The following is a 14766-nucleotide window of genomic DNA, read 5'->3' as shown; positions in this document are numbered from 1 at the left end:
CTTGAAAATTACAGAGTCCATTTATGTTCTGCAAGAAAAATAAGTGTGTCATCACCCTAGGGGGCTACACCTCCTACTCACAGAGTGATGGGAATTTTCTGCATTTTCTCTTTTGTTCCGAGTAGTGACATGGTAAAAGTTGTTTGTATTGGTGTCTCAGTTTGGTTGATGAACTGGATCTTGAACTGGTAATGATAAACTAGAGAGAGAGACAGAGAGAGAAAGAGAGAGATAATTTAAGCAGTGATTTTAAATTTAAAAATCTCTTATTTCTTAAAATTTAAACATGCAGAGGGAAGAGTTTGGATAGATATTAATATGTTAACAACATTTTTTTGCTCCTAAATGGTGGTTTATCTTCTTGTTTTTCCTTCTCTGTATTTCCTAAATGTCTATTCAGGACTTATATTGTGTTTGTAATGTAATAATGATAAATATTCACCAACAAAAGATGGCAGAATAGGAGTATAGGACATCTGGCATTCTCACTGAGTTCTAGATGCAAGTTCTGCTGTAATATTTCATGTGTTTGGTGAGGGTCTCCTTTCGTAAATCAAAGAATATATGCCTTTTAGGCATTTGACAAGGCAAGAGAGAACACATTGCCATTTTACATTATTGCTGCTCTCTGATGGGGTGTGTTTCAGGGTGGGGCAGAGCTCCAGCCAAGAAATATATGCCCTAGTGACCAAGCGTTTATATTCCGGGGCAGTTCCTGGAAACAAGCTCTGTGAGTTTCAATAAGTGTATTTCCTAATGGAAATAAGATAACTGTAGTTCTAGAACTTGGGCCTAAAATCTTTCTGTTTTATCACATGTCTGGAATGTCCTCCTACTGATGGGTTGGTTGGAAGAGGATAATTTATTTTATTCTTCTTTACCTAATACAGTCTACATTTAGTTACTGAAAGCAAATGGCTTACTATTAGACAGGCGTTGTTAAATACATGGCATCGTTAAATGATAATACATTTTTGCATTGTTGAATGCATTGCATCATCTCATTTACTCATCACAACGCTATGATGTAGGCATTGTTATTATCACCCCCATTTTATAAATAAGAAAACTGGAGCTCAGATAGATGAAAGTGACTTGCTTAAGGTCAAATAGCAGCATCTGTGCTCTTAGCTTCCCTCACCCTAGATGGTGTTTGCTTAGCTTGCATGGTGGCACAGCTATGGAGCTGTTTTGAAAATTATCCTACCTCATTCCAAAATGGCTGATTACTGCTTGGACTTCTTTCTCTTGTCTCCATATTCTCCCCAGTGGATTCCCCAGGGTTGGATGCAGGGTCCAGCTTCCAGACCAGGATTGGCTTTTGTTTTTGTTTTGGGTTTTTTTTTTTTTTTTTTTTTTTGAGACAGGGTCTCTCTCTGTCACTGAGGCTTGGGTGCAGTGCCACCTTGGCTTACTGCAGCCTTGACCTCCTGAGCTCTCTTGTCTCCATATTCTCTAAGCATCTACAGTGTTCTAGCTCCAAGATTGCAAACAGGTTTAATACGGCATGTTAATTCCATTTGATTGATAAGAACTGCCTGGATCCCTCTGTTGAGATGGATTCTGAGGCCATGTCCGGGCTTGGGGCAAGATGAGTGTCTGGTTTGGGAAAAGGATAAGGGATTTATGGAATACTTGCTGCGTATTTGCCTTTCCTGTTTAGACAATGGTTAATCCACGAATCCTAACAGTGCCTTGCACACAGTAGGTGCTTAATAAACTTTTGTGGGATGAATGAACTGATGGTTTGCTTGGGGGTGACGTATCACAATGCACATTAACATCTAACAACATGGAAATCACCTCTGAGGATTCAAGACCTGAGTTTCAAGCTTTGTCATAGGAGAATTTCAAAAAATTAGATCACGGTAACTAGCCACTTGACTATCCATCCCTTGTACCCAGCATGTGGAAATTCATCTCTTCATCAATCAATCTACTAACTCCTAAATGGTACTATTTCTACCGGAGGTTGGTAGCTATACAGCAAGCCCAGCAGAGGGTACTGCCAGCTCCAGTGTCCTGGTATGCCTGTATTGCCAAGTTTCTAGATTACACAATCCTATCCTTGGCATAAACTAATCTTCCCATTTGGATTTTGTATATAATTTGCTCATGTGAGTGGGGATATCTCTTGGGTTTACTAAAGGGGTTATCTCTGAAGCACCAAATGTTTATTTATGTTCACAACAAGAGCCAAATACTAAGAGTTGATTTATTGGCCAAGAGTTTTCTGCTTTAGATAAGAGCTAGCTCAGGTAGTATCTGGTGCCTACTACAGTACCCTATACACCAGCAGTCCCCAACATTTTGGGCATCAGGGATGGGTTTCATGGAAGACAGTTTTTCCATGGACCAGTGTGGGGGCAGGGGGGATAGCTTCAGGATGAAACTGTTCCACCTCAGATCATCAGGCATTAGATTCTCATAATAGTTCACAATAGGGTTTGCGCTGCTATGAGGATCTTATGTTGCCACTGCTCTGACAGGTGGAGCTCAGGCGGTTATGCTTGCTCGCCCACTGCTCACCTCTGGCTGTGAGGCCCGGATCCTAATTGCCCACTGTCTGTAGCTCGGGGGTTGGGGACCCCTGCTGTAATACAATAGATGCTCAAATCCCAAGCCTGGAATAAAGCAATGTGATGCCCTCAAGACAGCAAAAGAGGCTGTGGGTGAGAAGTAAGAAAACAGCTGGCTGGGCACGGTGGCTTGCACCTGTAATCCCAGCACTTTGGGAGCCGAGGCAGGTGGATCACAAGGTCAAGAGATTGAGACCATCCTGGCCAACATGGTGAAACCCCGTCTCTACTAAAAATACAAAAATTAGCTGGGTGTGGTGGTGGGCGCCTGTAGTCCCAGCTACTCGGGAGGCTGAGGTAGGAGAATTGCTTGAACCCAGGAGGCAGAGGTTGCAGTGAGCTGAGATTGCACCACTGCACTCCAGCCTGGTGACAGGGCAAGAGTCTGTCTCAAAAAAGAAAAAAAAAAAAAGAAAAGAGCTATAGGCGCAAGTCCTGGGAAGGGTCCCTAAACTCTTGGGTGGCACCACTGGAGAGAGGGACTTAGCCTGTCATCCCAGAAGCCTCTGGAGAGGTCTTACACTATTTGGGGGTTTGTCAAGGAAACTCTGTAACAAATGAACAGTCTTGTAAGTCAAACTGAGACAAAAAGAAAGTTCTTTCCAAAGTGGGGGAGGGGGTAAGATGTGGGAGGACTGGCCTTGGGTTAACCTCCTTATGAATAGTCAGGGTACCTTCCAGAGTTCTCAAGGAACACTCATAGTAACCGATCTTCAATTCAGTTTAATATGATATGTATTAATTGGAAGTCTACTGTGTGTTTAGCCCAGTGCTAAATGCAATTAAAAGCATATAATGAGGCCGGGCGCGGTGGCTCACGCCTGTAATCCCAGCACTTTGGGAGGCTGAGGGGGGCGGATCACGAGGTCAACAGATCGAGACCATCCTGGCTAACACGGTGAAACCCCGTTCTCTACTAAAAATACAAAAAATTAGCGGGGCGTGGTGGTGGGTGCCTGTAGTCTCAGCTGCTGGGGAGGCTGAGGCAGGAGAATGGTGTGAACCCAGGAGGTGGAGCTTACAGTGAGCTGAGATCGCGCCACTGCGCTCCAGCCTGGGTGACAGAGCAAGACTACATCTCAAAAAAAAAAAAAAAAAAAAAAAGAGCATATAATGGCAGTATGCATGATAATAACATTGGCTAATATCTATTTTGGTTTTTGCCAAGTGCTTTGCTTCTGTCATCTCACTTGACCCTCAAACAAATGATACGATTATTATCTCATTTTAGAGAAGAGGAAACTGAAGGACAGAGAAGTTAAGTGACTTTTCTCGGATCACACAGCTAGTAAGTCGTATATGGCTGGGGCGTCGGCTCACACAACCTGACTCCAGAACTTGAACTTTTACATGTTTATACCCAGGACCACTAGCTTTATATATTCTAAGGAAAAAGTTGAATTGTGGAAAGAGATTTCAGTTAAAAAATGTCCTAACATTTGTGTAAAAATACACTGAAAACACCTGAAATATTCAGTAATAGAGGGATGGCTATGAACTAATAACAGCAATTATGATAACTACTATTTAGCGCTTCACTATGTCCCAGACATTGAGCTAATAGTTTCATATAATTATCTCATTTCTCTTTACAACAACTTTATAAGATGCCTACTTTATCTTCCCTCCCACATCATTTTGCAAAGGAAGAAGCTGAGGCTCAGAAAAAGTTAAGTAACTTGTCGTTGTCACGTGGCTAATAACTGATGAAGCTGCAATTAGAAGTTAGTCTGCTGATTCTCAGTTCATTGTCCCAAACATGTGATTTACTCTTATGAAGCCATTAAAAGCTATTTTTGGAATGATTTCAATGCTTATGAAAGAAGTGAAAAAGAAAACAAAAACAAAAAAACACAGGCTACGAAACTGTCTAGTATGAGACCAACTCTGCAAAACAGAATGCATAGAAGTAGGGGAATTCACAAAAATATTAACAGTGCTTATCTCTGGAGAGGGCAGAGTGGTCATTTTTATTCTCTTCTTTATGTTCTTCTGCAAGTTTCACATTTTCTGCAGTAAACGTGTATTCTAATTGGAATCCTATTGGAAAAAGAAAGAGCTTTTACAAGTATTGAAAAGGAAAAAAAAGAGAACTAGAAGTTGTGGTCCTTTGTGGCCTCTGCCTTGTCTCACGGGCATCTGTGTCCATGTCTTATCTCCCCAAAGGCCATCTCGGAACCACACTACTGCTTGTATCTCCACAAGGGCACAGCACACACTAGGCCTCCAAGGAGTACTTCACAGGCTCTCTGAGTGAAGAACAACATGCATATATAACTGCATTAAAGACACCAAGGATGATAAAATAGCTCCCATTTGTTGAGATCCTACTATGTGTTAAGCTACATACTAAGTGTTTTACATACATCATCTTTCTCCTCATAACAGGCTAAATAATGATGCCCTGCTGGGTAGTGCCCATCTGCTCCCTCTACCCCTGCTGTCCTCATCCACTCTGCCCTCCACTGCTCAGCTCTGAGCCCCAGGATGGGATCCCTTAGGCTGCATCTGCCGGGCTCCCTTGTCGATTGGTTTCTGGTTGGGTGTGACCACTGGAGGGAGAGGCACTAGCAGGAGATCAGGGCGGAGAAGAGAGAGGCAGGGGCATTTTCCCTCTGCTCCCCCGTGCTCTGGAGCCTGACTGTGCAGCCACTGCCCTCCCACGATTATCAGCAGCCCCTCCTCCATGGCTCTGGTTTTCCCACAGCTAGTCCCTTCCCTGGCTCCATCTGTCCTGCTGTTAGAGGCAGGGAGTCGCCTCAGTCCTTGTTGGTTTCCTTAACACTGCCCACCCTGTTGTAAGGAGTCCCACTTGCTTTCTTCAGCTGATCCAGGCCAGTGGAGTCCTGTTTTCTGCTGAGACCTAGACCGACACAGTGTTAATTATCCTGGTGAATATAAATAAGGAAGTGGAGGTTTGGAGACCTATAGTTATCCAGATAGTTCAGTGGAGCAGGATTCAAAGCCAGGTGTGTCTAATTCCAAAAGACTCTTTCTATATCGCCTGCTGTTTTCGTTCTGCAAGCTGAGTCTGTCCCTTGAAAGCAAATGGCCAACAGCCCCTGAAGAAAAGCTGTGGTTCAACACCTGCTTCTAATGAAGCCACCAAGACAAACTGCCTGCCAGCTCTGACCCCTTGACATCCATCCTGGGCTATCGCTGCCACAAAGGACGCTCTCCTGTCCCCTAAACGTCTGGCCCCTGAGCCGGGGAAAATGTTTCATGCCCTTGTCTTGGCGATACACTTTTTCTTCCCTTTTTCTTAAATTGTGAGTAGGAGGAGATTGATTTCTGCATTTGAGATGCTATGGTTCCACGATTTTAGGAGAAAGTGCTTGTGTAAAACCCAGGAGTCAGCTTTAGAGGATGCAAAGGCCCCTTTAGCTTGCACATCCTATGAATGAGAATTGCCTATTTCTACAACATGTGTCCCTAGAGTAGCATCTCTGCAGGAGGATGGAACGTGCCAAGGTGTGTGGGCTGTGAAGAGCCAAGCCAGCATGCTTTCTGAGGCTCACCAGGGAACGGGCTGGGGACGGAACCTGCGCTGATGGCTGAGGCACCCTTGAGTTTGCAGGAGCACTCCTGAGAAACTCCATGTCTGCACGGAGAATCTTGCATGACTGCCCTTTTTTGGAGAAATCTTTAAATGAAATTAACTTTAAATATAAATGAGTCTTTCAGGCTGAGAACTGGTTCCTGCTGAGAACTAGTTCCTCCTCCTCCTCCTTCTTCTTCTTCCTCCTCCTCTTTTGTAGAGATGAGGTCTGTATGTTGCTCAGGCTGGTCTCAAAATCCTGGGCTCACACAATCCTCCTGCATTGGCCTCCCAAAGTGTTAGGATTACAGGTGTGAGCCGCCACACCCAGTCCTAATTATTTACTCTTATTTGGATTTTTGTAAGTGTTTTTCTTTAAAAAAAAAAAAAAGGAAGAAAAGAAAAGACAATTTGCCTATCATTCTACCCTGCCACCCCCAGCACAATGATGCTATTACAAAGATTAAGGAAAAAAGTGTGAGTGATTTTGCCCACTTTACCTTATGACATGTTTAATAAGGACGTTAAAAAATGATTTGGGGAAAACGCTTTTAATCCTGTGACTGCAAAGAGACCAGTACAACATACTCCCAAGTTCTGGCAGGAGAAATTATTTCAGGTCTTAAAGATGAAAGGCATGAAATAGTCCATTGACCTCGAATGTGATCAGGGAAACTCCATTTACAGCAGAAATCTGAGGCCTCCGGAGAGTCTCCTCACTAGGAAAAATCCTGGATTGTAACCCTGTGTGGACCCTGCTGGTGCCATTTAAAAAAGAAAAAACTTACATTTTCTTTTCACAAGATCAGGTTATTGAATTTATGAAAAGAGAATATATTTCTTTCTATTTTTTGCCTCCCAGAAACAATGATTCTGAATCATTAGATGTTGGCTCTGGGAGATATTATGACTCTCTTTGCAAACATCAAAGAGGGCTTTTTTTTTTTCCCCCTCCGTGTATGGATTTCTCTCATGGAGATGGTAGGAATGAGACCTCTTGTGTTTTCTCCAAGCCCAGAGGGCTTGTTCCTAGACCCGAAATGCCTCTAACTCAGAGGGAAGCTGAAGATCATAGGATTGAGGGGCCCAGGATGGTGTTGTCCAGGGTGTTGCTGCCCAAAGAAGGCAGCCAGTGCCGGCAAGGCTGAATGAAAGTGAATTAACTCAGAGCAGGCGCGAGTGAAGAAGAAAAAGGGAAAGTGATTTTGTTAGCCTTTGTATGTAACACCTGTATGTGTCGGTATTTTCGTGGCCACATTTTGGTTTAACAGTACAGTCCCATTTAAGTGATGCCCTGATGTCACGAGACTGGATGCTTGCCCCTTTCTTTTTAAAATTAAATTGAATTTTTTTGAAACAGGGTCTCACTCTGTCACCCAGGCTAGAGTGCAGTGGCACCATCATGTCTCACTGCAGCCTTGACCTTCTAGGCTCAAGCAACCCTCCTGCAGTCTCCCAAGTAGCTGGGACTACAGACATGCACCACTCTACCTGGCTAATTTTTAATTCTTTTGTAGAGATGGCGTCTTGCTTTGTTGCCCGAGCTGGTTTGGAACGCCTGGGCTCAAGAGATCCTCCCACCTTGGCCTCCCAGAGTGTTGGGACTTCAGGTGTGAGCCACCGTGCCTGGCCAATGCCTGCCCCTTCTGTGGGGGTCTGTTGCTGCCTGCGAGCGGTGGAGATGGGGGAGTGTGTGTGTGCGGCCAGGACTGTTGTGCTGACTGGCGTCCTGTTGCCAGCTCTTTGTGCTGTGGGTGGAATAAGGGCCCTCAACGGATAGACAGAGCCCAGGGTTTGAGTCCTCTCTGATGCCTGCTTCCTTGTGATCTGGAGACCACATAGCCTTTCTGGGGCTCGATTTCCTCATCTGTGAATGCAGGTTAGGAACTTTCTTGTAGTGTCGCTGTAAAAATGTGATAAGATGGCGATGAAAAAATGCCTGCCTTCCAGAAGGTGTTAATCGGGTGTCATCTACTTCCTTCCTCCACACTGAACTGACCGGGGCAGGTTTTGAGACCCACCTGCAGGTCCCGTGCTAGTGGTTCATCCCCATGTCTATTCACACCTCTTCCTTGGTGCCCACATAGGTTTTGTCATTAGGTCAAGGTCACATAAGTGGTTGGCAGCAAGGCCAAGATTCTTGACACTCCTTATCCCAACCCCAAGCCTGTGCTGTCTACGACACCCCCTGCTTCTTCTGGAACTCTCCCTGAAGTCAGTGGAAACCTTCCAAAGAAGTAGCTGAGAGAAGCCAAAAACAGACCGACTGCCCGAGTCACAGCTTGGCTCGTCATCTCGCCGACCAGCAAGGAAGGGTGCTCTCATGGCTGCGGCGAGCAGCAGAAGCAAGTGCCCCTCACCCCCGACCCAGGGAGCCTGGAGTGCAGGGCCGTGGGTGAGGGGGCGGGGGAGGGGGAAGGGCAGCACGGGGAAGACAGGAGAAGAGTGGAGGAGATATGGAAGAGGGAGTGTGGAAGGAGGGCAGAGAGGAGGAGGCGGGACATGCAGCTGGAATGCCGCAGGAGGGAGAGGCACTCAGTCGAGGGCCTTGGTCCTACGCCGAGGCCAAGTGCAGTAAAAGGAGCAAAGGCTGGGATTCAATGCGATGCTTCCTGCTCACAAATTGTGTGACTTTGCCCTGACCGTGTCTCTGTGTGTGCGTGTGTCTCTCCCTGTCTGGGGGTTGCTGTGAGGATCAAATGGGAAATGAGCTAACGTGTACAACACATCCAGCCCAGTGCCCGGGCAGAGTGCCCCCCGAGGGCCCCTTCCCTCCTCTCCACCCGGTTACCTCATCTGACTGCTCTGAGGATGAAATGAGAGGAGGCACTGGCGAAACAGGATTTACTCCGTACAGATCCGTTTCCCTCCCCCTCCCTTAAAAACAGGCTCCCAAACTGGTAAAGGTTCCTTGTGAGAGAGTGAGAATGGAAGTGGGCGATAAATTGCCTCGTTTCACTCGGCGACTGTTTCCCAATTCTCTCTTGCTACTGCTGTACTCTCGCAGTGTTTACCCGAGTTCTGGTGTACAGTTGTAGAAAATAGATCCTTTGATGGTTTTGTCGAAATATCTTGGGAGCCAGAGGAATTCAGGCCAAGTTAGTCATCCTTTGTGAAACTACAATCAGGAGGCGATGTTTATCTTGCCCAACCAGACCCTGCACTAAAATACATTGTACAATTAGATGTTTTTGAAAAATGGGGATTGTGGTTTCTCTGTAGGCCGGGGTTGGGCAAGTCTGCTCTTTTAAGAGTGTAATATGTATTCATCAAAATGCTGGAGGTGGCTGGTGGAATAGGCTTTGGGGGCCCAAGTCAGTTATGATCACGGTTGTGATGGGCAGGGAGTGGTGTAGCTGTGGTGGCCTAGATTAAAATCTTCATCCCAGCATCACCAGTAGAACTCTCCGCGGCGATGGAAATGTTTTATTTCTGTGTTCTCTGATGCAGCAGCCACGTATTTGAGCACTTGAAAGGTGGCTTGTGTAACTGACAAACTGAATTTTTGGTTCCATTTAATTTAAAGTAACTTAGATTTGGATTTAAATAGCCACATATGGTTTGTGGCTACCACATTGGATAACATAACATTATATAGATAGCAGTATCCCATGAGCAGCTGCTTCAAACAGGCGAGTCTCGCATGAGTGCACTTTCCAGCCATGCCCAGGGTGGCTTGATGTGACCACAGAGACGTTACTTTCCACTAGCAAGTGAAACTGGGTTGAGCGGGTGAGGACTTTGCTCACTGGAGGGGCTGCAGGAGAACTGGGGAGAATTTGTGGGGGAGCAGAAAAGGAGAGGGTATGGGCTGGGCACAGTAGCTCACACCTGTAATTCCAGCACTTTGGGAGGCAGAGGCGGGTGGATCACTTGAGGTCAGGAGTTCGAGACCAGCCTGGCCAACGTGGCGAAACCCCGTCTCTACTAAAAATACAAAAATTAGCTGGGCGTGGTGGTGCACGCTGGTAATCCCAGCTACTTAGGAGGCTGAGGCAGGAGAATCACTTGAACCCTGCAGGTGGAGGTTGCAGTGAGCCAAGATCACGCCACTGCACTCCAGCCTGGGCGACAGAGTGAGACTTGGTCTCAAAAAAAAAAAAAAAAAAAAAAAAAAAAAGTAAGAAAGAAAAGGAGAGGGTGTGGTACAAGCCACAGCTCGGCACTGGAACCTCCCTCCAGCCTGGGGCTTTCGGTTCCTGACCAGTTTCAGTCAGTCCTGCCCTTAACCTCCTCCTCACTAGATGTCCCAGGAGCAAGATAAGTAGTCGGTAATAAAGAGACACAAATGTGGTCTCCAAGGAACTCATCGTGGGTTAGTCTCCACCGAGCCCCCTGAGGGTAGGACTGTGTTTGAAGAATATACGGATGGATGAGTACGTTGGTTTTGGTAGCTGGTGGGTGAGATAATGATGCCCTAATGCAATTCTTTGGTCTTCCTTAATAACAAAGGGATCCTTGTGAGTTCACATCAGCAGTGTATGGTGGTCGGGCAGTGGGGCCGTTGGCAAATGGGAGAAGCTCAGCCTGGTTCATGCCTACTGCTCTTGTTTCCCCTTCTTCCTTCTCTTGATGCTTCCCTTCCCAATCTCCAAGTCCCCAGTAGATGTCCTAGGGCTGGGCCAAATCAGATGAAGTGCCCAGTTTAGCCCTGGAAGATGAAAAATGACCTCTTTTCTTCCCAGGTGATTTCAAGGAGAAAGCAATTCCCCCACCCTTCTCTTCCATACCCCTCTTATCCCCATAAACAGACCAGCGGCAGGTTTAGGAGTTTTTAAAAATCACTCTGCTCACTCTTTGGAGGCCCCAGGTCTAAATGCCAGGTCTGCCAAGAGCTTTTTGTCTCTGGACAAATAATTTTCCCTGCCTAGGCCTTGGTTTCCCCATCTGAAAAACGGCAGGGTTGAACTGCTCCTCATGATGCGAACATTCCATGATTAAAATAGATCCAGTGAAATGTGATTATCTAAGAGGCTTAATCACTCCAGGCGGCATTGCCATTTAAAAGAGGAGCTGGTTCACCCAAATGAGTCTTTAATTGGCAGCCTGCAGCGGAGGAGCTCCCCGAAGCAGGAGGACTTCCAAATTCCCTCACCTGCGTGCTGCCATCTCCTCCAGCCCTAAGGGACAGCCAGTGGAGGGACCCTTTGGCCCGAAAGATCCTGCCCTCACACCAACTACTCTTCAGATGCTGTGCGCACCCACAAGAAATTTCTGTCATTCCTAGACCTGCTTGACTCAAGGGAGGGAAACCTGACTGGAGAGCAAAAGTTCCGATACACAGAGAAATCCTGTGCCTCAAAAATAAGCTGCCTGGGAGTTTGAACTCACGACTGAGAGTCAGGTGGCCCTGTTCCAGGTCTCCTTACAGCTGCACAGCTGTGGGCACCCCACGCGAGTTTTGCTTTGCTCCTCTTTAGAATGGGATAATAACCAGCCCTGCCATCCTCGCCTGGCTGTTGGGAGAACCACAAGGAGCTGATGGCTGCATCGAATGTTTTGTGTAAAATGCTCCCTAAAAGCAAAGTGGTGGTGACGGCCTGTTTACATTCTCCAGATACAAATATCTGCCTGGTAATAGTCAAACAGCACATCAGATTTCTTCTCCCAGCACTGGAGAGGCTGTGCGATGAAACAGTGAGATGCTAAAGCACTCCCGAGCTGTTTTAGGGATTAGGCAGAAATGTTAATGGCAACAGATGTCGGCTTGTTCCCTCCAGGAGGATTTAGGTTTCAGTGGAGTATTTCTCTGCTGGCCTCAGCCTAAGACGTGGTCACAGCCCTTTCTACAATCTTCCATTCAATCCAGAGAGCTGCTGGGCCCACTTTCTGCCCTGTGGTTAAAAATCTGGCTGGGAAACACTGGAAGCTGAATCTTGTCTTGGGAGTGCCTCAGGGTGAATATCATGTCCTATCAGATCAGCTGATTCAAATCTTAGAAGAAATGAAATGCAGTCTAGAATCCAGTTTTTTCATGGGGGCCGTGAACAGAGATGAAAGAACTGGGTTCTAGGATGTGTTTGGAGATGCCTGACGTCCCTGTACAGTGAGATCCGGGTGGCCCAGGTAAACTGCGTGTGGCCTTGCAGATCTAACATTCTAGGGGAGCATGAAAATGGACAGAGAGGCCAACCCAAGGATCGTTTCAGAAATGGTCGAGGTTTCTCCTCCTAGCCCTTGGCGGCAAGGTGGCCACACTCTTGGGACAGGAGAAAGGCTGTGTCAACGTTGCTGTCTGGAGCCTGCACAGTTTCAGAAACACCGCAACAGCAGAGCTGAAGCACCTCCAGGAAAGAAGCCAAGGGGACTTCTGAGCCCTTTGGACAGGGGACTGCATCCTGCCCTTCTGAAGGCTCCCCAGCTCCACACTCACCTTTGAAGGGGGACTGGGCTCGCGTTACGAGGAAGAGCCTCTTGCTCTTGCTCCGCGGCTCCTGGCGGACGTGGTAGCCCAGCGTGTTGCAGCGGCCCTTCTTGCAGCTCAGGCACAGGCCCTGGCTGAAGCTGTTCATGTCACCACACGGGTAGGCCATGCTCTGCGTGCCGGCGTGCAGCAAGGAGTCGATGAAAAGGTGCACCGATCGCTCGTGGGAGCATTTTATGGTCTGGGTGATGGCTGGAACACAGGGCAAGAAGGACGTTATCACCCCTTAACCCAAAGCAGCCTCAACTCAGAGGATCACCTTGGTTCTCATCCCACAGGAGGTTAGCAGTAGCACACAGAACAGGCAAGGGTGGGCTTGTCAAGGCAGACCCCTTGACAAGAGCAGGATGTGACAACTGACTGAAACTAAGGGAAGTAGACCCTCTGAGTCATGTAGTGTCAGGCAAAATCCCGGGCACTGCCGGGATCCTGAGAGCACTCCTTTATGACAGCGTGTTACAGTAGGCATTTTAATAGGCACCCAAGTCACTAAGGAAAGATCAAATTCATTAAGAGAGCAGGTTAGTGTAATTTATTATAGAAATATTTCTATCTCAAATGAGATAATTTAAAATGCCCAGGTGCTGATGCCTGGAGGGTGGGTTTTCTGGAACAGGCTTGCGTGGGACTCCTCTTCTCTTAATATAACTAGATACACGAGACAATCCCGTGGCACTCTGATGGTCTGGAGAACGCTGAGGCCTCTCGACAATGTCTACCTTGTGTCCCAAAGCAGCCATTGCATCCCTTAGGTAACAGGCCTGTGAAACCAGCACAAGAATTGGATTTGGAAGGACATTGCCCAGTAACCAGATCTGGACAGGCCTCACCCCCAAAACAAGCTTATGAGGTTGATCTACTAAGGATTTGACCTTTTTTTTTTTTTTTTAACTCTCCAAATTTTAACCTAATCTGTGGTAAATAATTCTCAAGGGATGTTGAGGAACCACCACAAGATATGTGAAACACTTGCTGTAAAGGGACAGCACAGGTGACTTTGCCAAAAGCTATTTCCCCAGTTGTCTGGAGGCTAAATGCCAAGATTAGTCACTGCAGTCCTTGGACGCTAGCGGCTGCATTCCTTGGGCACCTACTAGGAGGCTGTGTATGCTGCGTGCCCTCCGCTCCTCCACTGCCTGCATCTTCACTGCAGCTCCTTGAGGCCGCTGTTTTCGACGAGAAAACTGAGCTTCCAAGACATCCACTAACTCACCCAAGCTCATCCACCCAGGAGGTAGTGAAGGTGAATCTGCAGTTATCCAGTGAGCCCCTGTGCAGCTGTGGCTGGGAGAACTACCCCAGGAACCCTTTCAAACACAGGGGTGAAGACGACTGAGAAAAACCAGCCCAAGCTTGGGCAAGCTGAATACCTACATTTGGTTCCGTCACTTTGAAGTTTAGCACAAAAGAGCAAATGGTAATGATTGGTCAGAAATGTGTTTACCAGGAAAATAAAGCCCATACACCATCCTGATGGTCTGTACTGAGCTTTGTTGGGTGGGGTGAAGTTTGGGATGAGGGCTGGATGGTCAGCTGGGAACTGCTGGTGGCTGGAGGGGAGGTGTTGGAGTGGGGGAGGTGGGAGGGATGTAAGCAATGATAAGGGCAAGTTCCCAGAAGGCTCTCTCAGGCCTGGGCGGTGGAAGGCTGGGAGTCCAGCCAAAATGAGATGATGCGGAGTGTGAAGGTCACTCTGATATTGGAGAGGCGAGGATGGTGTCATCACAAGAGAGTGTGTTCTCAGCTGAGTGTTGGATGATCAGGGTGAGGTGGCTTGTAGGGGTGGAGGGCTCTACTTGGCTTGGAGTGATTGGCATGTCTTAATCAGGGTGATATTTTATAATAGCAAGAAATTTGGAATGCCCGTGGAATGTGCTGCTTCTGCTGACATTTTTGTTCTTTAATCCTGTGCATATTATCAATGTGCATGTTAATATTTCGGTTTTAGGACTTGAGAGAGAAGTGGGATCACAACCCAGATAACAGCACATTCCGTGTCTGCCCTGAGGTAAAGGGCATAACAAGGACATATTTGAAGCTGAATTTCCCATTGGGACAGTCTGAGTAATTTCCTCAATTAAACTGATGGGGTGGGATGAAGAGTGAGACCTTCATCGAGAAGCCACAACCTATTAAGTGGATCCTCATGTGGTTCAGAATAGAGGCGGTCCCTGGAACGAGGAAACTTCCAGAGAAGGAAGAATAACCACAGGCATCCGGACTCA

General features: G+C 47.0%; 1 protein-coding gene across 1 annotated transcript in view, besides 1 other annotated feature; it reads right to left on the bottom strand.

Moving 5' to 3' along the window:
• The window catches only part of LIPC (lipase C, hepatic type), a 137854-nt gene that overhangs the window by 8782 nt on the left and 114306 nt on the right, over positions 1–14766 (bottom strand). Inside the window, exons 6-7 of the mRNA NM_000236.3 lie at positions 12491–12733; positions 82–199 (exon numbers count right to left, since the gene is read on the bottom strand). Coding sequence (NP_000227.2) covers positions 82–199; positions 12491–12733 — 361 coding nt within the window. The remainder of the gene's footprint in view (positions 1–81; positions 200–12490; positions 12734–14766) is intronic.
• Positions 11915–12553: an enhancer, noted in NCBI's record as "H3K27ac-H3K4me1 hESC enhancer chr15:58840709-58841347 (GRCh37/hg19 assembly coordinates)". NCBI's record gives its function as "activates a minimal SCP1, AML or CMV promoter by ChIP-STARR-seq in primed H9 embryonic stem cells {active_cell/tissue: H9 hESC(primed)}" and the evidence as "EXISTENCE:reporter gene assay evidence [ECO:0000049][PMID:30033119]".

This window comes from Homo sapiens, chromosome 15 (assembly GCF_000001405.40).
Source record: "Homo sapiens chromosome 15, GRCh38.p14 Primary Assembly".
In the NCBI taxonomy this organism is placed as follows: domain Eukaryota; kingdom Metazoa; phylum Chordata; class Mammalia; order Primates; family Hominidae; genus Homo; species Homo sapiens.
Note: the sequence above shows the minus strand (reverse complement) of the source record. Positions and strands in the feature narration are given on the sequence as shown.